General features: G+C 44.8%; 2 long non-coding RNA genes and 2 pseudogenes across 2 annotated transcripts in view, besides 2 other annotated features; 1 reads left to right on the forward strand and 3 right to left on the reverse strand.

Moving 5' to 3' along the window:
* Positions 1-867: 867 nt before the first annotated feature.
* On the reverse strand, positions 868-3,052 carry LOC124902217 (uncharacterized). Its single transcript, XR_007061673.1, has 2 exons — positions 2,611-3,052; positions 868-2,484 (listed from the first exon to the last, which is right to left on the reverse strand). It is a non-coding gene; the product is annotated as an uncharacterized LOC124902217 (long non-coding RNA).
* Positions 2,950-3,189: a silencer, noted in NCBI's record as "silent region_20055". NCBI's record gives its function as "represses an Ori minimal core promoter by ATAC-STARR-seq in GM12878 lymphoblastoid cells {active_cell/tissue: GM12878}" and the evidence as "EXISTENCE:reporter gene assay evidence [ECO:0000049][PMID:35858748]".
* Positions 3,044-25,714, forward strand: part of LOC100132077 (uncharacterized) — a 28,473-nt gene continuing 5,802 nt past the window's right edge. Inside the window, exons 1-2 of the long non-coding RNA NR_033937.1 lie at positions 3,044-3,556; positions 9,404-9,588. This is a non-coding gene — a long non-coding RNA (uncharacterized LOC100132077). The remainder of the gene's footprint in view (positions 3,557-9,403; positions 9,589-25,714) is intronic.
* On the reverse strand, positions 8,843-12,150 carry PNRC2P4 (PNRC2 pseudogene 4; annotated as a pseudogene).
* Positions 11,381-11,881: an enhancer, noted in NCBI's record as "H3K4me1 hESC enhancer chr9:97103095-97103595 (GRCh37/hg19 assembly coordinates)". NCBI's record gives its function as "activates a minimal SCP1, AML or CMV promoter by ChIP-STARR-seq in naive H9 embryonic stem cells {active_cell/tissue: H9 hESC(naive)}" and the evidence as "EXISTENCE:reporter gene assay evidence [ECO:0000049][PMID:30033119]".
* PTMAP12 (prothymosin alpha pseudogene 12) lies at positions 17,566-18,293 on the reverse strand (annotated as a pseudogene).

Genomic DNA, 25,714 nt, shown 5'->3' on the forward strand with positions numbered 1-25,714 from the left:
TTTATTTTGTATCTTTTACATGATTTTAACTTAACTAAGCAATACTTTTGCATGGTTCCAAATTCAAATTGTGCACAGTGGAATAGACAATGACCAGCCTTCCTCCCACCTCTTTTCTCTGGCCACCACATTTTCTTTCCTGGAGGAAATAGGTGTTATCTGATTCTTTTTCATCTTTCCAGAGATATATTATGCAATCAAAAGCATAATGAAGCTATTTTTGCTGTCTAAAAATATTTTCAGTTTTTTGGGGGTAAAAATTAATATATTAATATGTTCTAGTATTCTTCTGATATTTGCAGTGACTGTATTTGTCCCAGTAATGTGGTTCCTCTCTTTATTTCTGTAGGTAAATTGCTAGAATGAGATGTTGGACTGTTTTTTAAAATTAAAAATACATGAAAGAACATAGTGGCCAGATTTAGCAAGTATGAATAAAGAATACCAAGTGGAATTTGAATTGAAGATAAACAGTGAATTAGTTTTTACTATAATTATGATCCATATGACATTTAGAGTACACTTTTACAAAAAAAAAAATCTGTCCTTTATCTGTGCTATTCACATTTCACTGGGATCTTGCACTTTATCTGGTAACTCTTCCCAAAAAAGTGTAACATATTAGGCAATTATTGTTAACTCTCCACTGTGAGAGTGCGAACTTGCAGTAAGGAGACTCAAGTGTGAATCTTGGCTGCACCACAAAAAGATTCTGCACCACAACCATTGCAGAAAACAATAGCAGGCTGATTTGATGAAAGGAAGTCAGGAGTAGCCATTATACCGTTCTCAGCTTCCAGGTTTAGTGGCAGTACGCACAGTTTTAAGGGACAGGAGAGCAGAACACCGTCTTTTTCTTTCCTAACATAAAGTGGCTTACAATTCCTAGAACTCTGGTTTCTCCAGGAGTTAGAAATCCACAACCCACGTCCATTCTGAGACAAGCAAGGATGCTAACCACCAATGTCCCATCCCCATTCTCATGCATCCCCTTGCATGTGTGAATCCTGGTTGGAGTCTCTCAGCTCGTTGCTGTCCTCATCTTCATCACAAGTGTCATCACATGTGGTTCTCAGCATGGGAATTATTGTAGCCTGTCTTTAAAAAAATCTTCATTCTCATTTTCACACAGAATTGCTGTTTATCAGCGTCAAAATGACAGGAAAGAGCACTCATGTTCTGTGTTGTGAACAAGGGGAGTGTTAGGAAACTGGTCAAAGGAGATGAGGAGTGAGTACTCAGAGCACAGCAAGAAAATCTGAGACACAGATGTCACTCCCTGCTGGGCAGCAGTCTTTTGCACTGATGGGTGGGTGTTGGGGAAGGGAAGAGGCCTTCAGCCGGACCAGTGCACACTGTGAACATTCACTGAAACACACCCTGTTGGCACTTAAGAAGCATTTGCCCCTTTCAAAGACATTTGGACTCAAGAAGGCAGAGTTGCAGAAAACGTAACGGGCCACACTGCAGGGGCAGGCAGTGGATTGCAAGTCTCAAGCCCAGGGTTCTCCCCTCCTTGCCTGGGTTGTGTGAAAAAGTCATTTCCTAACTCCTATCCGATATCCTCATGAGTTCTCGGTTTTGTCCCAACTCTAAAACTGAATGGTCCAGCGAGCATTTCTATGAAATGCCTCCACAGTGGCCACTGGGAGGGGAGTGACCTCCACACAGTGACTGCCTGTCTGGATGCTCCCAGGCCTTTTGTCCTCCGAGACAGAGCTGCCTCCTTACATGCAGCCCTCTTCTGCTGTGCAACTCTACCTCGATCTTAGCTGAGAAGATCAGCGGAGAGCAATTCAAGCAAAATCATGGTAAACTTACCAAAACCAAACCAAACAAACAGTAAATGCTTTGGAGATCTTTCTGAGGACGCGATCTTTTATCACGGGGCAAAAACTTAAATGATTTTCAATCAGTAACTTCATCTAAGAGGGATGTTGAGGCAAAATATCACACTCAGGCACTGAAGAAGGGCAGAATTCTTGTTTGCTTCCTCCCTTGTCAAGTTAGTCAGTCAATGCTTTCTCAAGATGCTCACACATGGCTTTGATACAGGATTTGAATGAGTCTTTTTCTGAGCCACTGATACAAAAAGTATATTGTGGAAGTGTCTTGTTTCAATTCTGCAATCGCTTCTGTATGTGTTTGAAGTCCTAGACCCCAGGAGGAGAGACAATCAAATTAGCCAAAGGTAATTTGTGAAGACTGGCCATAGAAGGTGGTGGCTAAAAGTCCTCTGGCCCCTGCTCTCTGAGCATGCCCACAGAAAGTCCTGGGCCACACTGACTGCTGAGAAACATCATCTCAGGGCTTGGATCCCCTGTTCAGAGGACAGATGCTCTTCCACCCAATCACTGAACAGTAGAGGAATGGCGGCTCCATGCTGTGTCTGGCAGAGCTCTCAGTCTCTGCACTTGAGACCCTAGGCCGTCATAGACGTGAAGGCTCTTCAGTGTCATCACGTGGAGACAGACGGTAGGAATCCTGCAAATGAGCAGAAAGGATCTGATGATGAAAGTTTGTTCTGAAGCTACTACAAACTCAAGTCAGTGAGTTGCTTCTGTACTAGCTTTTTTTTTTTTTTTTTTTGAGATGGAGTCTTGCTCCCACCTTGAAGTGCAGTGGTGTGATCTCCTCTCACTGCAGCCTCCGCCTCCTGGGTTCAAGCAATTCTGCCTCAGCCTCCCAAGTAACTGGGACTACAAGTGCGCGCCACCACGCCTGGCTAATTTTTGTAATTTTGGTAGAGACGGGATTGCACCATATTGGCCAGGCTGGTCTCGAACCCCCAACCTCAGGTGATCTACCCGCCTCAGCCTCCAAAAGTGCTGGGATTACAGGCGTGAGCCACCGCGCCCGGTCAGACTCTCTCGTTTCTAGGAGGGACGGTCTTGGAGGCTCCAAGGAGAAGGCGTCGCCTGGCCCCAGGAAGCGCCCTGGTGCAGCGTCCCTCCATTTCCCCATCTCCTGCGGGGCCCTCCCAGGGCGGGCTCCACGCCTGCCCTGCGCGCCTGCGCAGGAGCCTTGAGGCGGGCGGGGTTCCAGCGCGCAGCCGGCCGCCCTCAACCGCTCCCAGCATCGGTTGCCGGTGGTTCGGGGCAGGGAGACGACGCAGCGCGAGCGGAAAGGGCGGTTACCCAACGGCCTTAGCTCTCATGGCGTCCTCCGTGGTGTTACCTAAAAATAAAGTTATTTGTGATTAGAAGGTAATCGCCTCCTGGTCATGCTTCCGCTGGTCAACAGTGTCTGCGGGGCGACCCCATCCTTGTGGCCAGAGAGGGCCTGTGGCTGCGCTCAAGGCGGGAGCGGTCCTTAGCGGGGCCCTGCGGGACGCCCAGGCCGCGCTCCTTTCCCTTGCTCGCCTGGCCTTGAAGTGAAGGGGGAGGTTTAACAATGCAGTGGGAACCCCAAAGTTTGTCTCGGCCGTGCTGCTCACATTCCAAACAATGCAAAAGGTTGAGGAAAACCTCAGCAGTTGAAACCGTGATGCATTTCAGCAAAGAAGTAGCTCCTGTCCTCGTAAAATCAGTGAAGTTCTCACGGACGACCTCATTGAGTGAGTTGTGAAGCTTGTTGCCTTAATCAGAATGATCAGCCAGCATGCATGCTCTAATATGCTCGTTTGTCAATGATATGAGCAGCTGCAAAGTGGAAGAAGAGGCCTTTACTCATAGTCTGTTCACTTGGTAGCACAAGTTGGTTGTGGAAGCAAGAGTGTGGCCAAAGTCAAGAAAAGCTTCTATGAGAATCGCTTACTTATGTGGAATTTAAATAAAAAGTAGTGTATATTATTATTTGTAAATTGTAGACTACACATGTATTATATCTAAAATTTACTGCACACACGTGTGTGTCCTGGGCAGTTGGTCAGTGTGTGTACTTGAGAATGTGAGAAAGATTTGTTTTGCATTTTGGGGGGTGTGAGATTTGTGGGGGTGGCTGTGTGTATGTGAAAATGTGTTTATATGAATGCTTAGTTTGGAATTTGTTGCGTATTTAATTCGTGAGAATCTAATATGTATTCACCTGTGTGGGTTGGTGGTGTCTGTGTGGAGATTGCAGATTAAAGAAGGTCATAATTGGGCTGGGCATGGTGGCTCATGCCTGTAATCCCAGCACTTTGGGAGGCTGAGGTGGGCGGATCACTTCAGGTCAGGAGTTCAAGACCAGCCTGGCCAACTTGGCAAAACGCCATCTGTACTAAAAATACAAAAATTAGCCAGGCGTGGTGGCATGCACTTGTAGTCCCAGCTACTCGGGAGGATGAGACAGGAGAATTGCTTGAACCCAGGAGGCAGAGGCTGCAGTGAGAGGAGATCACGCCACTGCACTTCAAGGTAGGAGCGAGACTCCATCTCAAAAAAAAAAAGGAAAAGTAAAGAAGGTCATTCATAACTATTCATAACTGCTTTTGTGAGAGTGTGTAGGTGTGAGTGTTTATATTTGGAGGATATGAGGTGTAATATGTGTATACAAGAAGAATTGGGGTTCGATATTTGTGATTTGGGTTGTGAAGATGTATTTTCCATAAGTTTTCTGAAATGAATGTTGGGGATTTGTATTTGTCTAATGTTTGGCAGATCTGGAAGAATTACCTTGTTGTGCATGTGGGCAATAATAGAGAAAGTGCTTGTGTCTATTTTTGTGGATGTACACTGTGGTTTACATATTTGGGGAATGTAGGAAGACCATTTGTGTGCTTAGGATATGTTGCATCATTGTGTGTGTTTCTTTTCACGATTTTCAGGGGTTGTGTATGGCCATTTCAATGTGTGAGGGCAGATCCATGACTATTGGGGGACTGGTAGAATGAATGTGTGCAGTTGTGAGGTGGACTTTGTATGATTCTGTGTCTTGGAAAATGGAGGAGTTATTTCTGTGTGAGCATTTAGAGGTGTGATTACATATGTGCAGGTATTGTGGGACTGGATGTGTATTTGGGGATATGAGGTGGCATGTTTGCATATTTGTGGCGTGTTAGTTAATCGCAGGTATATTTAGGGCATGTAGGGAACTCCATGAGTATTGAGTGTGTGTGTGTGTTCAAGGGCATGGCAGTTTGGATGAATGTTTTGTGGAGCTATGTGCTTGTATTTTTCAGTGAGTGGTTATTAGGGTTATATATTCTGGGAATGTAGTATATGTGTCTCTGATAGAGAGATGGGGTTCTGTGTTTATACAGGAGAGTGAGAGAATTGAATTTATATGTATTAGAGGTATGTGATATGGTTATTGGTTAGTACTTGGCGATGTGAGAGACACTCCCCTCGTTTACAAAGCAGTGCCCAGCTGGTTTGTGCGAGTGGAGAATATGGTGGACCGGTTCCTAAGGAACAGTGACCTGTGCTACCGGTGAGCAGTAAGATGTGTTTCTTCGTAATGTCTTTTGTCATGTGGTTAGTGTGGTTTACACTTCCCCCAAGTTATAATTTTTTTTTTTTTTGAGACGGAGTCTCGCTCTGTCGCCCAGGCTGGAGTGCAGTGGCGTGATCTCGGCTCACTGCAAACTCCGCCTCCCGGGTTCACGCCATTCTCCTGCCTCAGCCTCCCGAGTAGCTGGGACTACAGGCACCTGCCACCAGGCCCGGCTATTTTTTTGGATTTTTTTAGTAGAGACGAGGTTTCACCGTGTTATCCAGGATGGTCTCGATCTCCTGACCTCGTGATCTGCCTGCCTCGGCCTCCCAAAGTGCTGGGATTACAGGCGTGAGCCACCGTGCCTGGCCTTCTTTAGATAATTTGAACCAGTTTATAACAAAAATTTTAAAATAGACTACAACTAAGTAGAAGACAGACCACGACATAGAAAGTAGAATGAAGTTAAAATTCTGGGCTAATACAATTATGCTGGCTAAACATCATTAGAAGCAACAAGGTATAACAGAGAATGTAGATTTTGAAGTCAAACACATTTGTTCACCCCTTCCTTACTGTATAATGTTGAGGAGTTGCTTAATTTCTGAGATGTAACATCCTCCTCCACAAAATGATGTAACAATTATGTTGTAGAGTGTTGTGAGAATTAAATAAAATGACATTATGTGTGTTCTGGATGATACTTAATCTATTTTCTTTCCTTTAAGCTGTTGTTTGAGATAAAAGGGAGACAGAATTATGCAAATTTTGTTGTTGAATATAGGCTTTGTTTCCGTGATTCTTGGAAGTGTGGTTCCTGGACCATCAGCATCAGCATCACCTGGGAAGCAGTTAAAAATGCAAATTATCAGCCGGGTGCAGTGGCTCACACCTGTAATCCCAGCACTTTGGGAGGCCGAGGCGGGTGGATCATGAGGTCAGGAGTTTGAGACCAGCCTAGCCAACATGGTGAAACCCCGTCTCTACTAAAAATACGAAAATTAGCTGGGCGTGGTGGTGGGCGCCTGTGATCCCAGCTAGTTGGGAGGCTGAGGCAGGAGAATTGCTTGAACCTGGGAGGCAGAGGTTGCAGTGAGCCAAGATTGTGCCACTGCACTCCAATCCAGCCTGGGTGACAGAGCGAGACTCCATCTAAAAAAAAAAATAGAGATGGGGTTTCACTATGTTGGCAAGGCTGGTCTCGAACTCCTGACCTCAAGTGATCTGCCCGCCTTGGCCTCCCAAAGTGCTGGGATTAGAGGTGTGAGCCACTGTGCCTGGCAACAGACTTTAGTTTAAGATAAAGTTCTTTTTTTTGTTTGTGTTTTTGAGACGGAGTCTGGCTCTGTTGCCCATGCTAGAGTGTAGTGGCGTGATCTCGGCTCTCTGCAACCTCTGCCTCCCGGGTTCAAGCAATTCTCCTGCCTCAGCCTCCCGAGTAGCTGGGACTATAGGCATGTGCCACCATGTCTGGCTAATTTTTGTATTTTTAGTAGAGACAGGCTTTCACCGTGTTAGCCAGGATGGTCTCGATCTCCTGACCTCGTGATCTGCCCGCCTCAGCCTCCCAAAGTGCTGGGATTACATACAGGCGTGAGCCACCGCACCCGGCCAGAATAAAGTGATTTAAAAAAAAAAAAAATTATTTTGGACCTTTAAAATTAGACCATACTATAAAAAAAAAAAGTCCACACTCTTTTATGTTCAGCAAATTCATACTAAAATATTCTGTTTTTGTAGGATAAAGGCCAAGAAAACTTTACATATGCTACAAGTTTATTACATGTATTTACATGGCTCTTTCTTCCCTAGTTACTTAAAACTTTCACATTATACAACTCTCCAAAGCAAGCTTCCTCTCCCCAAGGCAAGCTTTGCAGAAATGATGAGGTCGTATTACTATCAGAATAGCTTAGGCAGTGCCATAATATAAAAATGTTTTGTTTTGTTTTTGAGATGGAGTCTCGCTCTGTTGCCTGGGCTGGAGTGCAGTAGCGAGATCTTGGCTCACTGCAATCTCTGCCTCCTGGGTTCAAGCGATTCTCCTCCCTCAGCCTCCTGAATAAGCTGGGATTACAGGCATGTGCCACTGTGCCTGGCTAATTTTTGTATTTTTAGTAGAGATGGGGTTTCATCATGTTGGTCAGGCTGGTCTCGAACTCCTGACCCTGGATCCGCCTGCCTCGGCCTCCCAAAGTGCTGGGATTACAGGCGTGAGCCACCGTGCCCAGCCATAAAAATGTATTTTGAAAGCTATTGAGTGACTGTTAAATGATGTTTTATTTTTTTTAAAATGGTTTTGGGCTGGGCGCGGTGGCTCACGCCTGTAATCCCAGCATTTTGGGAGGCCGAGGCGGGCGGATCATGAGGTCAGGAGATCGAAACCATCCTGGCTAACATGGTGAAACCCCGTCTCTACTAAAAATACAAAAAATTAGCCGGGCATGGTGGTGGGCACCTGTAGTCCCAGCTACTCGGGAGGCTGAGGCAGGAGAATGGCATGAACCCGGGAGGCAGAGCTTGCAGAGAGCAGAGATCGTGCCCCTGCACTCCAGCCTGGGCAACAGAGGGAGACTCCATCTCAAAAAAAAAAAAAAAAGGTTTTGGTGTATTTGTTGGCAGACACCTATCCACTGCATTTAGAGAAAGGGACATTGGGGTATACTCTGCCTCGTTCTAATAAACCCCAAGTGCCCTTTCCAGTTTCACCACTGTACAATTTACTAAAATGCAACTATTAGGAAAACTTCACATTTTCTTTTGGCAGTGCATCAGGTTGTTGGCATATTACTGGTTTGAGTGCTTCTAGTATACTGAACTTTCAGAAGTTTACCTACTTCTTAATCCTGTGTCTTAGCTAGATGTTTACAATCTGATTCACTTTCAGCAATCTATTATCCATGAATAATAATCGTATATTACTATTTTCCCCCAACATTCAATAGAAAAAGTTGATGCCCTTGCTAGTCCCCAAATCTAAACTTGAATGGTTTCACTTAAAAGTTACTCATTTGAGGCTGGGTGTAGTGGCGCATGCCTGTGATCTCAGCACTCTGGGAGGCCAAGGCAGGCGGATCACTTGAGGTCAGGAGTTTGAGACCAGTCTGGCCAACATGGTGAAACCCCGTCTCTACAAAAAATATAAAAATTAGCTGGGCGTAGTGGTGCACGCCTTTAATCCCAGCGACTCAGGAGGCTGAGGCAGGAGAATCGCCTGAACCCAGGAGGCAGAGGTTGCAGTGAGCCAAGATTGCACCACTGCACTTCTGCCTGGGTGACAGAGCAAGACTCTGTCTCAAAAAAAAAAAAAAAACTCATTTGAGAACCCTTAATAATTAGTACAATTATTAATTTAGTTACTTTAAGTTGCACTGATGCTATCATTACATCACAGTGCACCCAACACATAAAACAAATGAGATGAAGTCAATTTTATTTTTTATACTAATTAACAGTTCTACACTAATACATTAATCCCTTGGTGTATTTGTTTTAGACCAGTTGACAACTATCTGTAAACATAGCTAAATGTAAACATTAGTACTTTATCTTATTTTGTACCTGTACTTTAAGTAAGGTTTTAAGTTAAAATGTCATTATTGCCTTATCGGAAGAATTAAAGGAAACAGCTTGGTGGTTTGGGAAGAACACTTGGTGATGGAGGTTCACTACATTTGGCCCTGGCAAAGTTCTGATTAGCTTGAGATTTAAAAAGTAAGCTGGGACCTGAAAAGTTCAGAGTTCCAATTTTGATTTTTTGGAAAATTTTTGTTCTTTCCCCCGTCTTGCATGGCCTGCCCTGCAGCTGCTGATGAGTTATATCCCTGTCTTCTTTTTTCTTATGAAGAATCTTCATTGGGGGATTCTGACTCTTGGTCTATTAAGCTGTTGTTGATTCTACTAACATTTCTAGGTTGAGGGGCTGGAATGTTACACCTCTCTCTACCACTTGTCTTCAGTTTCTTTATCACTTGTCCTCTTTCTTAGTGTCAAGTTCAGGACAATAGGTGTTGCTTTCTGACAGATCCTTTCCTTTGTCTCAATACAGAAGTTTTCATGGGCTGAGCTGCTGACTTCAGCCTGGGAACTGAGGCCAACATCGGAGTCTCCTCGGCACACAAGTTTGAAAGAAGTCCTAGTGACTTCAAGCTCAGAACCATGGACGGCAGGGCTCCCTCTGGATGTGGAATTCTCCGTCCCTTTCCAGGGAGGGAACAAAGCCCACAAGCACCGGTGAGTGAACTGCTGACCACCCCCGCAATTTAAAACATATCCTTTTGTCTCTTATCTTTGCAAAAATAACACGGCATAAAATTTATTCCTAGCAGCCAGCTACCTAGAGATACCACTTTCCTGTCTCTGCCCATCCATATTATGTCTCCCTGTTTTCTTCTGAAGCCCGCCAAAACCTGTTTTGTAAACTGCTTTCTCCTTACTCAATATATAGTGGGCTTTTTTTTTTTTTGAGATGGAGCCTCCCTCTGTTGCCCAGCTGGAGTGCAGTGGTATGATCCCAGCTGACTGCAACCTCCGCCTCCGGAGTTGAAGCAATTCTCCCCCCTCAGCTTCCCAAGCTTCCCAAGTAGCTGGGACTACAGGCACAGGCCACCTCGCCCAGCTAATTTTTGTATCTTTAGTACAGACAGGCTTTCACCATGTTGGCCAGGCTGGCGTTGAACTCCTGACTCAAGTGATCCACCTGCCTCGGCCTCCCAAAGTGCTGGGATTATAAGCGTGAGCCACCGCACCTGGCCTATAGTGAGCATTTTCTGTCAATCATAAATATTCTCCCATAAAATGACTTTAAATGTGCGCAATAAATTCTACCAAAAGGCTGGGTGTGGTGGCCCATACCTACAATCCCAGCACTTCAGGAGACCGAGGCGCAAGGGTGGCTTCAGCCCAGGAGTTCAAGACCAGCCTGGGCAACACAGAGAGACCCCCATCTCCACACACACACACACACAAAATTAGCCAAGGGTGGTGGTATGAATCTGTAATCCCAGCTACTCAGGAAGCTGAGGCAGGAGGATTGGTTGATTCCAGGAACTGGAGACTGTAGTGAGTCATGATCATGCCACTGTGCTGCATTCTGGGCAAAGAGTGAGACCCTGTCTAAAAAAAAAATTCTGGTCGGGCACGGTGGCTCATGCTTGTGATCCCAGCACTTTGGGAGGCTGAGGCGGGCGGATCATGAGGTCAGGAGTTTGAGACCAGCCTGGCCAACACAGTGAAACTCTGTCTCTACTAAAAATACAAAAAATAGCTGGGCGTGGTGGTGGGCGCCTGTAATCCCAGCTACTTGGGAGGCTAAGGTAGGAGAATCGCTTGAACCCGGGAGGCAGAGGTTGCAGTGAGCCGAGATTGCACCACTGCACTCCAGCCCAGGTCACAGAGCTAGACTCTGTCTCAAAAAAAAAAAAGTTTTACTAAACGAATTTCCATGATTTAGAATCAGTCACCTATTGTTAGTTATTTATGTAGCTTCCAATTTTTCTACCACAAATAGCCTTGCTAAACATCCCTGAAAATTAACGTATGCATATATCCTGGATTGTTTTTCATTTGAATACATTTCTAGATGCGAATGAATGAGACCAAATGTAGGTAAGAAATGGAAAGGTTTAGGTGGGCCCGGGTGCGCTGACAGCAGCACCACAACAGCTCAGTGACAACACAGTGGCGGGGACCTCATCAGCGCCCAGTCCTTTCTTGATTTACCGCGTTGCTTCCTCCCTCTTCTCCCTAGTAATTATTATTCAGAGCTTCCCAGAATAAAGCCGGGGCCCTGATTTTACCTAGACAAACAGTGCCACAGGTTTCCCCGACGGAAAGACTGAACCCAGCAGAGAGAAGCGGGTGAGGGTGGGAGTTCCAGAAGGGAAGGGGCACAGGTGGGGCCTGGATCCAGATTATGGATGGATGCCCCTCCCAGGTAGCACCCAGGCCCAGCCCTGCCCCTCCCATGCATGGGAGTAGCAGGAGGTTGTGATAGTGGCCCTGACAACAGGTAGCCGGCCCTCTTTTATGCCATTGACCATGGAGTGCTGTAGTCTCTGTCTTCCTTCTTTCTCCTCACCCTCCCTTGCCCCACACCTTTGGCCCTCCTCCCTTCCCCCTTCACCAGGTCTAGGTGAGTGGGATGAGCCCAGCCTCCGCAAAGGCCTCGGGCTGGGGAGCCGCTGCACACTGCAGGCATCTAGCTATAGGAGTGTCCAGGTTGCAGCTTGGGACCAGCCCTTGGAGGAAGAAGTCTAACTCAGTGCTCTTTACCTGCACACTGTAATGGGATGACTGGTTTCTTTTGGTGGTGTTTTTCTTTTTGACGGAAGGGGTTCCGGATATCAGAAATAACTTCTTTTTTTTTTCCCAGAGACAGAGTCTTACTCAGCCATCCAGGCTGGAGTACAGTGGCACAATCTCAGCTCACTGCAAATCTGCCTTCCAGGTTCAAGTGATTCTTATGCCTTAGCCTCCTGAGTAGTTGGGACTACAGGTGTGCGCCATCATGCCTGGCTAATTTTTGTACTTTTTGTGGAGACAGGGTTCACCATGTTGGCCAGACTGGTCTCAAACTCCTGGCCTCAAGTGATCCGCCCGCCTTAGTCTCCAAAGTGCTGGGATTACAGGCGTGAGCCATTGCGCCAGGCCAGAAAGGAGTTCTTGGGACAAGACATCAAAACCAGCTGTTAGCCAGTTCCCCTATCCTTGCTTTCTGTTTCACTGGTTGTTCAGGGAGTGAAGAGATGAAGCTTTAAGTGCAAGTATGATGCAGGTCACTCACTCACCTGGCATTTCGTGATGTTTTTTCCTTATTCACTTTCCCTAAGTCTGATTCTCCTGTTTATATCCTTCACTGCTGTATAAACTTCTCCAATGCAAGGGACCAGCTCTTACATTTCTTATGTTGTTTCCTAGATAGATAGATGGATACCTATAGATATATATAATATAAATAATATATGATACATATTTGTATATATTGAATATATATTTTTTAATATATGACATGCCCACTTGTATACTACTGCTTGGGCAAGAGAGATAGCTAGGAGTAAAACAGCAGTTGTCCTACGTGGCAGTCAGCTGCTTCTCCTGCTCACTGCCACATGAATCATCACTAAGGGGAATGTCCCCTGAGCACTACTGAGAACTGGGGGGATATATGGTTCGATACTTTACCTGGATTACTGCCCTTCACCTGGCTGAATGCCACCTCCTTAAGTCTCAGCTTAACTTTCACTTCCTCTGGGAAAGTAGTTCTGATTTTCCCCCACAAAACTAGAAAACATAAGTCCACAGGAATCCCACTGTTGAATGAACTAAGGAAAATGGGTGATTTTTAGTAGAGACGGGGTTTCACCATGTTGGCCAGGCTGGTCTCGAACTCTTGACCTCAGGTGATCTGCCCGCCTTGGCCTCCCAGAGTGCTGGGATTACAGGTATGAGCCACCGTGCCCGGCCTAGGAGACTTTTTGAAATGCAAAAAAACAAAAACACAATTACAACAGCTCTACCCTGTGTACATGCTTTAGAAAATAATGCTATTTACCTTAATTTTCACATTTTCAACAAAGAGCAGGCACAATTTGCTAGTGAACAGGACCCCAATTTATTGTTTCCCTTATTACTATATTTCTCTACTGTTCTTATGATTCTACTTTAAGAAGACATTAATTTAATACTATGGAGTTGTAATTTATTACATTGGATACCTAAAAGGGGTAGAATCAGGTTGAACAAAGAATTTTCTTGGCATAATTAGTACAAATGTTTTGTTTATGAAGTGCAGCAATATCTCCTTTAGACCCAGGCAAGAGGGACCCTGCTGTGAACCCTGGCACCCCAACACATTTTATGCACCCCAATACCTATGTTGCTTTGTTACAGGCAAATGGTGCTTTCGTCTCTCAGGACCCCATGCCCTGTGCTGGCACAGCATGACCTAAAGCCCTAAACACCAACGCTTATGTGCAACACTGCTCACCAAGGGATATCTCTTGACCTATGCTCCCAACACACAAGGCACCTGCATACAAAGGTCATGAGAGTTTGTGGGTTGTATGCCACTGATGTCAAAGCAGATACTGTTCCAATTAGAGGAAGGATTCCAGAGGAGGAAGCACTTAAGAAAGAAAAAAACATAATTGCCTGCCAAATCCTTACACGTGGTTAGCATGAAAGCAATTAGCTCTTGCCTAATTGAAATATTGGTATGCTGAGCATTCGTGTTCTTTTCACATTCCAATTCTGATTCCTGAGGTACTTAAATCACTTTGGTATTCACCACAGTTGCGTATAGCACCTGAGAAACATTTTCTAACACTGAATGATGCATGCTATTCTTACATTTGTATGTATGTAGGACTAGATGTAACAAGCATCTATACCGTCAGTAGAGCATAAATTATGTGCCGATTTCAATTATAATAACATAAGTGGGCCGGGCGCGGTGGCTCACGCCTGTAATCCCAGCACCTTGGGAGGCCAAGGCGGGCAGATCATGAGGTCAGGAGTTGGACACCAGCCTGGCCAACATGGTGAAACCCCGTCTCTACTAAAAATACAAAAATTAGCCTGGCATGGTGATGCATGCCTGTAATCCCAGATACTCAGGAGACTGAGGCAGGAGAATTGCCTGAACCCAGGAGGCGGAGGTTGCAGTGAGCCGAGATCGCGCCACTGCACTCCAGCCTGGGTGACAGCGTGAGACTCCGTCTTGGAAAATAAAATAACATAAGTGAAGGCCCAAAAAAATAATAATAATGCAATATGTATTTTATTTTATTACTCATCCCCTAATCACCAGCTTATCATCAGAGCATCCAGACACATTCAACCATAATCACACTCAATTATCTTGACATTTTGCCTTTTTTTTTTTTTTGAGACAAGGTCTCGCTGTGTTGCCCAGGCTGGTCTCAAACTCTTGAGCCAAGCAATCCTTCTGCCTCAGCCTCTTGGGTAGCTGAGTTTATAGGTGCACACCATTGCACTAGCTCCATTTTTTTACCTTAGGAGAAATAGAGCTTTAAACCAATTTTAAAAGTTTAATGTTCTGTAATCCCCGCACTTTGGGAAGCTGAGGTGGGCAGATCACCTGAGGTTGCGAGTCTGACACCAGCCTGGTCAAAATGGTGAAACCCTGTCTCTACTAAAAAATTACAAAAATTAGCTAGGTGTGGTGGCCCATGCCTGTAATCCTGCTACTTGGGAGGCTGAGGCAGGAGAATTGCTTGAATTGGGGGGGTGGAGGTTGCAGCGAGCCAAGATCATGCCACTGCACTCCAGCTTGGGCATCATCAGAGCAAGGCTCCGTCCCCTCCAACCCCCCGCCAAAAAAAAAAGTTTAATGTTTTAGAAGGGCGCATTTGTCAAGCTAGGAAGATAGAGCATGTTTTCTCTGACAGTTTAATTCGATTTGCAACTTAAATACCTGGATATAGGATATTTGGGCCTTCTTTTGCATTCTTAGTCTGGGCCCTGCAAGTGTTAGGGGAAGGTCTGAACTACTCTAATGGTTTGATTTTATTTTTAAAATTTTTTGAAATGAGTCTCACTCTGTCACCCAGACTGTAGTGCAGTGGTGTGATCTCGGCTCACTGCAACCTCCGCCTCCCAGGTTCAAGTGGTTCTCCTGCCTCAGCCTCCTAAGTAGCTGGGATTACAGATGTGCACCACCACACCTGGCTAGTTTTTGTATTTTTAGTAGAGACGGGGTTTCACCATGTTGGCCAGGCTGGTCTCGAACTTCTGGCCTGAAGTGATCCTCCCTCCTCAGCCTCCCAAGAGAGCTGGGATTACAGGTGTGAGCCACCGTGCCTAGCCATAGTTTGATTTTAAATACCAATAACCTTGATATTTTTGAAAGCCTACTTGTTTATTTTCTCTCTGGTATATTGCAACTATTTTTTTAAGAACAACTCAGCAAAATAAAATTCCTGTTTATTGTTGGACAACATTGTTTCATGCATATATCAAACAGGCCAAAAAAACCCCCAGCAACTTTATAAACAAACAAACGGAAAAAAAAAGGCCGGGCGCAGTGGCTCACGCCTGTAACCCCAGCACATTGGGAGGCTGAGGTGGGCAGATCATGAGGTCAGGAGTTTGAGACCAGCCTGGCCAACATGGTGAAACCCCATCTCTACTAAAAATACAAAAATTAGCCGGGCGTGATGGCATACGCCTGTAATTCCAGCTACTCCGGAGGCTGAGGCAGGAGAATCACTTGAACCCGGGAAGTGGAGGTTGCAGTGAGCCAAGATCGTGCCACTGCACTCCAGCCTGGGCAACAGAGCGAGACTCTGTCTCAAAAAAATAAAAGGAAAAAAAAGAAGCCTTTTATCTCTGGCCTTTTTGTTTTTGAGATGGAAACTCACTCTGTCGCCCGGGCTGCAGTGCAGTGGCACGATCTCAGCTCACTGCAATGTCCGCCTCCCGAGTAGCTGGGATTACAGGCGCCCGCCACTACGCCCAGCCAATTTTTTGTATTTTTAGTAGAGACGGGGTTTCGCCATGTTGGCCAGGCTGGTCTCGAACTCCCGACCTCATGATCTGCCCGCCTTAGCCTCCCAGAAAAAAAAAAGGCCTGAGATTACAGGTGTGAGCCACTGCGCCTGGCCTGTTTTTTAGTTAGTTTTTTTTTTTTTTTTTTTCGAGACGGAGTTTCATTCTTGCCCAAGCTGCAGTGCGATGGCGGATCCTGGCTCACCACAACCTCCGACTCCCGGGTTGAAGCGATTCTCCTGCCTCAGCCTCTCCAGTAGCTGGGATTACAGGCATGAGCCACCACGCCCGGCTGATTTTTTGTATTTTTAGTAGTGATAGGGTTTCTCCATGTTGGTCAGGCTGGTCTTGAACTCCCAACCTCAGATGATCTGCCCGCCTCGGCCTCTCAAAGTGCTGGGATTACAGCCGTGAGCCGCCATGCCAGCCGGCCTTTTTAACTAGATCATATAAACCAACTACTTATAGTACAGCTAAGTACATACACAAAAAAGTTACTGCAATGGTGGGAATAAGATTGTTTTTCAGGGCTGGGCGTGGTGGGTCACACCTGTAATCCCAGCACTTTGGGAGGCTGAGGTGGGCGGATCACGAGGTCAGGAGATGGAGACCATCCTCGCTAACACGGTGAAACCCCGTCTCTACTAAAAATACAAAAAATTAGCCGGGTGTAGTGGCGGGCGCCTGTAGTCCCAGCTAGTGGGGAGGCTGAGGCAGGATAATGGCTTGAACCCGGGAGGCAGAGCTTGCAGTGAGCCGAGATCGCGCCACTGCACTCCCGCCTGGGAGAAAGAGCGAGACTAACTCTCAAAAAACAAAACAAAACAAAACAAAAACAAAAAAAAAACTTGTAAGAAAAGCAAAAACGACAACAGAAAAACAATCTTTTTTTTTTGAGACAGAGTCTTGCTCTGTTGCCCAGGCCGGAGTGCAGTGGCGCGATCTCGGCTCACTGCAAGCTGCGCCTCCCGGGTTCACGCCATTCTCCTGCCTCAGCCTGCCGAGTAGCTGGGACTACAGGCGCCCGCCACCGCGCCCAGCTAATTTTTTGTATTTTTAGTATAGATGGGGTTTCACCGTGTTAGCCAGGATGGTCTCCATCTCCTGACCTCGTGATCCGCCCGCCTCGGCCTCCCAAAGTGCTGGGATTACAGGCGTGAGCCACCGCGCCTGGCCCTTTTTTTACAAGTTTTTTTTTTTTTTCCTCCTTTGAGATTATAATGAACATGGTCACACCACAAGTAAAGTCAGAAGTAGGACGGAGAACGGTCCGAAGGCTGGTTTGGTCATCCGAGATCATTAAAGGTGGCTGACCCTAACAATATGTACAAAAATATAAAATGTAAATTAAAAATACAAGCAAATTTCTTTTTTTAAAGTACTTTTAAGAAAAAAAGCAGGCCGGGCGCGATGGCTCACGCCTGTAATCCCAGCACTTTGGGAGGCCGAGGTGGGTAGATCACGAGGTCAGGAGATCGAGACCATACTGGCTAACACTGTGAAACCCCATCTCTGCTAAAAATACAAAAAATCAGCCGGGTGTCGTGGTGGGCGCCTGTAGTCCCAGCTACTCGGGAGGCTGAGGCAGGAGAATGGCATGAACCCGGGAGGAGGAACTTGCAGTGAGCCGAGATCGCACCACTGCACTCCAGCCTGGGTGACAGAGCAAGACTCTGCCTCAAAAAAAAGAAAAAAGAAAAAAAGAAAAAAAGCAGGGCCTTGGAAGTTTTGGTTCTTTTTTCCTCCCCTGTTGCAAATTCTTACGGTTTAGGTTGGGTGGTGGAGAGTGTGTGTCATCTGTGGGTGGCACTGCCCATGGTGGGGGGGCGGGCCTCAATACTGGAAGGTGACTACGTTTAGATTCTGAGACAGGAAATGGAGGGTGAATAGGTCATGGCGGCCTTTTTTTTTTAGTTTAACTTTTCCTTTTTTGCTGTCTAGTCATCCTTGTCGGTCTTCTGCTTCTTGGTATCGACATCATCATCCTCATCATCTTCAGCTGCCCGCTTGCCTGTAGCAGACTCAGCTTCCTCTTCATCTCCATCCTCTTCCTCACCATCACCTTCTTTTTCCTCCTCCTCTTCCTCCCCACTTTCTTCCCCTTCTTCATCTACCTCATTGTCAGCCTCCTGCTCCCCATTTTCCTCATTAGCATTCCCGTTAGCAGGGGCGTCTCTTCCATTTTCCGCGTCTTTCACAACTTCCTTCTTCTCCTTTAAGTCCTTGGCAATGATTTCAGAGCTGGTGTCTACAGCTGCATCTGACATGGTGGGGCACGCCGGTGATCTGATGCAGGGGATTAAAAAGAAAACGAGAGTTCAGGGACTCCGGCGATAAAGCTGCCAGAGTCTGCGGCGGAGGCAGCCGCGGCGAGCAAGGAGCTGGACAAGGAACAATGCAAAGATGGCTTTTCAGAGCAGCCAATCGGGATCTTGAAACTATTAAGGCCTAAAATCATTAGCACTGTTTTCTCCCTCTAAGACATATGTGGCTTTTCACTTTATTTTCAACTGAATGCTTTCGCTGTTTTGGGTTTAGCAAGCTTTTGGTCTTAAAAATATCCAACAATGCAGTTAAGAGGCCAGATGACTTTATGCATGAAACATTGTTAAGATGAGGAATTTTCCCATAGAAAGGTGACCAGATTTGAGGAAATTATTTAGTCAGTATAAACATTTCTCTGGATGTAAACAGTACAGATTTTACTTTCAGGCTTTCCTAATAAAGTTTCTAACAGACCTGGAAAGGAGAAGGAAGAGTAACATCTGTTGCAAAACCCCAGTTACGTGTAGGACAAATAAGAATCTGGGAGAGAGGTGACTTGCCCAAGTGACACACCGATTTGGGATATATTAGGGAGAACCATTAATTCTTGTCCATAAGGCTTGATTTAGAATTGTTTTTTATTTTAATGGAAGTTCTGTAGAAAGAAAGGAATACTTGGAAAAATTGAGCCACTTGTAAATACTTGGAAGATGAGAAAAGAGAATGGTTTAAAATCTTCTTACCATATCCCTATTCTCCTCCTCTTCCTCCTCATCATCAGAATCACAATCAGTCAGTCAAGGTTGGCACTTTATTAGTGTGAACAAGGTCAGTATGAAAACACAAAGTATAGGGAAGTTGTGACACCCAATGTGTACAATTTCTAAGTCACACCTCTCTGTTTCACATTTATTTATTTATTTCTCAGTTTCATTTTAATATGGTTATAGGACCACCAGGTTCGATTGCCTGTTGCATGGTAACAAACCAATGCACCAGAACAGTGGAGATTGCAGCAGAGAAAGAGTTGAATAACTGTAGGGCAGCCGAATGAGAAGACAAGACGAGAGGAAACTTCAAATCTGCCTCCCTGAGAGGTTTGGGGATGGGGATTTTAAGGGGTCTGGACAGGTGATGGGCTAAAGTATGGGGATTGCTGACTGGTTGAGAAGTGGGGAGTGAAGTCATGGGACCAGGAGATGCTGAGTCGTTTTCTTGGTAGGGGTTTTCAGACGGTTGGCATCAGCCATTCTGCTGGAATTCAGGATCTGAAAAACACCTTAAGCAATTCTTGGGTAAAATGTCCAGTGTCAGATTCTATCTATGGGAGCAATGGGGGAGCAGGTGGTCAGTGTGCTGCATGACCCTCGATTAGTTAGCAGCTGCAGGGAAATGAGTCAGAGCACACCAGTGCATGCTGGTTGATGCCTGACTACAATACAAGCCTAAAGCCTGGCTTGTAATTCTCATTAACCCTGTGAGGGTGGGTTTTCCCTTGGGCTTTTGCCCCATTCTAAGCAACACTTCTATGGATATTTTTGACTACATGTTTTTTGTAGTGCACACTGGAAAATATTCTGTGTGCTCAAATTAATTTTTTTCCAAGACTGTTTCTCATTTTAATATCCCAGAGCTTCTCTTGCATTTTAGGCTGCAATGGGTGAAGAAAGGTATATCTTCATTCCTTTGTCAAAAATTTACTGAGTGCCTGGGCACTCAAGTGCTGTAATCCCAGCACTTTGGGAGGCCGAAGCAGGAGGATAGCTTGAACCCAGGAGTTCAAGACCAGCCTGGACAGGAGGATCACTTGAGCCCAGGAACTGGAGGCTGCAGCGAGCCATGATTGCACCACTGCACTCCAGCATGGGCAACGCAGCAATACCCTGTCTCAAAAACAAAAAAAAACATTTATTGAGTGCTTACTCAATGGTAGTTAGGCACTGGCCTGGGCACTGGAAAACAGAGAAATATAACATGTCCCCATCTTTCTCAGCATAAAGCTTATCAGACTGTGTCCATTGTGTTTATTTAAGAATATATTTCCAATACTAGTAGTTCTGTTTATAGCTATCCATCTTACCTCACCCCCTTCCCCAGATAAAAAATAAGCAATGTTCAATTTTAAGACACTATCAAGGCCGGGCACGGTGGCTCACACCTGTAATCCCAGCACTTTGGGAGGCCAAGGTGGGCAGATCACCTGAGGTCAAGAGTTCGAGACCAGCCTGGCCAACATGGTGAAACCCCATCTCTACTAAAAATACAAAAATTAGCCGGGTGTGGTGGCAGGCTCCTGTAATCCCAGCTAGTCGGGAGGCTGAGACAGGAGAATCGCTTGAACCCGGGAGATGGAGGTTGCAGGGAGCTGAGATTATGCCATTGCACTCTAGCCTGGGCGACCAAGAGTGAAACTCTGTCTCACACACACACACACAAAAAGACACTATCAAGTTACAGAAATCAAGGCAGTGTGGTATTGGAGAAGACTTAGACATATAGATCAATGGAACAGAATGGGACCCACACATAGATCCTCACAAATATGGCCAATTGTTTTAAATTGCGGTAAAATACATGTAACATAAATTTACCATCGTAACCATTTTTAAGCATACAGTTCAGTATGGTTTAATATATTCATATTGTTGTGCAGCTAATTTCCAGAACTTTTTCGTCTTGCAAAACAAACTCTATTTCCGTTAAACAACAACTGCCCCTTTCTCCTTTCCCCAGCTCCTGGCAACCCGCATTCTACTTTCTCTTTCTATAAGCTTGACTATGTTAGGTACCTCATATAAGTAATCATACAGTATTTGTGACTGGCTTATTTCACTTAATGTAATGTCCTCAAGGTTCATCCATTTGTCAGAAATTCTTTCCTTTTTAACACTGAATAATATTCTCTCGTTTGTGTATACAACATCTTGTTTATCCATTCATTCATGCATGGACACTTGGGTTCCTTCTACCTTTTGGCTATTGTGAATAATGCTGCTATGAACATGGGTATACAAATATCTGTTCGATTCCCTGCTTTCAATTCTTTTGGGTATTGTTGTACTGTGAAATATATATTTGGTCTTTGTTCCAATTTCCTGGCATACAACTCCTAAGATCCTTGGAATCTCCAAAGTGATGTCTTTTTGTGTGCTAATGAGTTGCCAGATGGCTGGCAGCTCCTAGGTAGCTTCAGGATGGGGGCTGGTCACCAGAAATGATTAGACGGTTGGGACTTTTGGCCCTACCCCCATCCTTTAGAGAGGAAAAAGGGGCTCAAGGTTAAGTTGATCACCAGCGGTCAATGGTTTAATCAATTATGCCTACCTAACAAAGCTTCTATAAAAACTGCAAATGACAGGGTGTGGGAAGTTTCTGAATAGTTGAACTCATGAAAGTTCCTGGAGGGTGGCATGCCTGGGAGGGTATAAAAGCTCCACGTCTATTTTCATCTCTTACCCTAGGCATCTTTTCATCAATACCCTTTGTAATATTCTTTATAATAAACTGGTAAATGTAAGTTAAAAGTTAAGTGTCTTCCTGAGTTCTGTGAGCCACTCTAGCAAATTAATCGGACCAGAGGTGGGGATCCCCCATTTATAGCCAGTCAGTAAGAAGTGCAGGTAAAGCAACCTGGGGCTTGCAATTGGCATAGGAAGTGGGGGGCAGTCTTGTGGACTGAGCACTCAACCTGTGGGATCTGATGCTCTCTCCAGGTAGATAGTGTCAGAATTGAATTGAATTAGAGGACACCCAGTTGGTGTCCATGCTGCAGAGCTGGTTACTTACTTGGTGTGTGGGGAGAACCCCATACACATCTGGTGTCTGAAGTACTCTGTGTTGGTGAGTATAGCAGGATAAATCAAGTTTGGTTATTATTAGTAGTATATGTTATTTAGCATACATTATTATTAATATACACCCAGAAGTAGAATTGCTGGATCATAGTGTAATTCTCTCTTTAATTTTTTGAGGCGCCACCGTACTGTTTACCTTAGTGGCTACACCATTTTACATTCTCATGACAACAGTGCTCAAGAGTTTCAGTTTCTCCATATTCTCAGCAGTGTTACCAAAAAGGGGTCCTGACCCAGAGCCCAAGAGAGGGTTCTTGGACCTCTCCCAAGAAAGAATTCACACAAGCCCATAGAGTAAAGTGAAAGCAAGTTTATTAAGAAAGTAAAGGAATAGGCCGGGCACGGTGGCTCATGCCTGTCATCCCAGCACTTTGGGAGGCCGAGGCGGGTGGATCATGAGGTCAGGAGTTCGAGACCAGCCTGGCCAACATGGTGAAACCCTGCCTCTCATAAAAATACAAAAATTAGCTGGGCATAGTGGCACATGTCTGTAGTCCCAGCTGCTTGGGAGGCTGAAGCAGGAGAATTGCTTGAACCCAGGAGGCAGAGGTTGCAGTGAGCCAAGATTGCGCCACTGTACTCCAGCACTCCAGCCTAGGTGACAGAGCAAGACTCAGTCTCAAAAAAGAAAAAAAAAAGTAAGGGAATAAAGAATGGCTACTCCATAGGCAGAGCAGCGGCATGGGCTGCTTGACTGGAGTATACTTATAGTTATTTCTTGATGATATGCTAAACAAGGGGTGGATTATTCATGAGTTTTCTGGGAAAGGGGTGGGCAGTTCCCAGAAATGAGAGTTCCTCCCCTTTTTAGACCATATAGAGTAACTTCCTGACATTGCCATGGCATTTGTAAATGGTCATGGTGCTGGTGGGAGTGTCTCTTAGCATGCTAATGCGTTATAATTAGTGTAAAATGAGCAGTGAGGACCACCAGAGGTCACTGTCATCACCATCTTGGTTTTGGTGGGTTTTGGCCGGCTTCTTTACTGCAACTTGTTTTATCAGCAAGGTCTTTGTGACTTGTATCTTGTGCTGACCTTGTATCTCATCCTGTGACTCAGAATGCCTAACCTCCTGGGAATGCAGCCCAGCAGGTCTCAGCCTTATTTTACCCAGCTCCTATTCAAGATGGAGTTGCTCTGGCTCAAATGCCTCTGACACCAGCACTCATTATTTTCTGTTTTTTGTTTTGTTTTACAGTAGTCATTCTGATGGGTATGAGGTGATGACCAATTGATTTTTGACAGAGGTGCAAAAGTAATTCAAAGGAGAAAGGACAGTCTTTCCAAAACCAGTGTTGGGATAATTAGTCATCCTGCAAAAAAATGAACCTTGACCTAAATTTCACCTTATACACAGACTAACTAAAAATTGATTTTACACGTAAATGTTAAAATTCAAAGCATAATATTTAAAAAAGAAAACAGAAGAAAATTTTCATGAACTGAAGTTAGACAAAAAGTTCTTAGATATGATGTCAAATGCCTGATCCACTAAAAAACATGACAAATTGGATTCATAAAATTTAAAACCCATGCTCTGCAAAATACACTGTGAAGAGAATAAAAATACACACCACAGACTTGGAGAAAATGTTGAGAAATCACTTATCTGACAAAGACTAGTATTCAGAGTATATAAAGACCTCTCAAAACTCAACAGAAGGAAAATAGAGTTTAAGTAAAAAATGGGTAAAAGACTTGAGCAGATACTTCATCAAAGAAGTTATATCGATGGAAAATAAGCACAAGAAAATATTTTCAACATCATTAGCTATCAGGAAGTGCAAATTAAAACCATAGTGAGGCTGGGGACAGTGGCTCATGCCTGTAATGCCAGCATTTTGGGAAGCTGAGGCAGGAGGATTGCTTGAGCTCAGGAGTTCCAGACCAGCCTGGCCAACATAGTGAGACCCTGTCTCTACTAAAAATCAAAAATAGCTGGGCATGTCTCTACTAAAAATAAAAAATAGGTGGCATACCGCTGTAGTCCCAGCTACTTGGGAGGCTGAAGTGAGAGGATTACTTGAGCCCTGGAGATTGAAGTTGTAGTGAGCTATGATAGCACCACTGCACCCCTGCCTGGGTGACAGAGTGAGACCTTGCCTCCCAAAAAACAAACCAAAAAAACCATAGTGAGACACCACACCATCAGCTAAAATAGAAAAACTGACCTGACCAAGTGATGTGGAGAATGTGGAGTAACTAGAACTTGCACACATTTCTGGTGGGAATGGAGAATGATGCAGTCACTCTGGAAGAACACTTGGCAGCCTTTTATAAAGTTAAACATATACTTACTATATGACCCACCAGTCCCACTCCTAGGTATTTACCTTAGCAAATGAAAAGTTACGGCCGGGTGCGGAGGCTCATGCCTGTAATCCCAGCACTTTGGGAGGCCGAGGCAGGTGGATCACAAGGTCAGGAGATCGAGACCATCCTGGCGAACACGGTGAAACCCCCTCCCTACTAAAAATACAAAAAATTAGCCGGGTGTGGTGGTGGGCGCCTGTAGTCCCAGCTACTCGGGAGGCTGAGGCAGGAGAATGGTATGAACCCAGGAGGCAGAGCTTGCAGTGAGCCGAGATTGCGCCACTGCACTCCAGCCTGGGCGACAGAGCTAGACTCTGTCTCAAAAAAAAAAAAACAAACAAAAAAAAACCATAAAATTAAAAAAAAGAAAAGTTATGGTCACATGAAAACTTGTATAGCGGTGTTTCATAAAGCTTTGTTTGTAATACCCCCAAACTGGAAACACTGAAAACTTCTCCCACTGGTAAATGAGTAAGTAATCTTTGGTACATCCATACAGTGAATGGAAGACTACCCGGCAAAAAAAGGGACCCAGCAACTTGATTGATCTCAAAGGTAACATTCTGAGTGAAAGAAGCCTGTCTCAAAAGGTTTACATATTGTATTATTTCATTTATGACAACCTCAAAAAGATGCAACTATAAATGTTAGGCAACAAATCGGTGGTTGCCAGGAGTTAGTGGGAGAATGTGGCCTTAAGGGAGCAGCACGAGGGAGTTTCTTAGGGTGATAGAGCTCTTTTGTATCTGCATTGAAGCAGTGGCTATATGAATCTGTGTTTTTTAAAACTTCAGGAACTGGCCAGTCATGGTGGCTTATGCCTGTAATCCCAGGACTTTGGGAGGCCGAGGCTGGAGGATCACTTGAGCCAAGGAGTTTAAGACCAGCGTGGGCAACATGGCAAAACCCCATCTCTACAAAAAATAGAAAAATTAGCCCGGTGTGATGGTGCATGCTTGTAATCGCAGCTACTTCGGAGCCTGAGGTGGGAGGATCGCTGGAACCCAGGAGGGGGAGGCTGCAGTGAGCTGTGATCATGCCAGTGTACTTCAGCCTGGGTGACAGTGAGACCCTGTTTCAAAATAATAATAATAATAATAATAAACTGATAGAACTGTACACAAGAAAAGTCAATTTTACTGTAGGCTAACTTAAAATTAAAATATATAAAATAATGTTTACATGAATACAATAAAAATGTTAACATAAATAACAGTTATGCAAAAAATAACTTCACAAAAGAATTTCCAAAAGAAAAAAGTTATAGTGAGAAGAATGACATTGTTTTACAATTTTGCAAAGAATTTTTTCTGCCTTAACAGAAGACACAGGATTCAATTGTATATATGTAATTCTATGTATCTTACAGGCTCAGCAAAGCTCTACTCATTGTCTACACTCATGAGACAATGAAAG

This window comes from Homo sapiens, chromosome 9 (assembly GCF_000001405.40).
Source record: "Homo sapiens chromosome 9, GRCh38.p14 Primary Assembly".
Taxonomy (NCBI): Eukaryota; Metazoa; Chordata; class Mammalia; order Primates; family Hominidae; genus Homo; species Homo sapiens.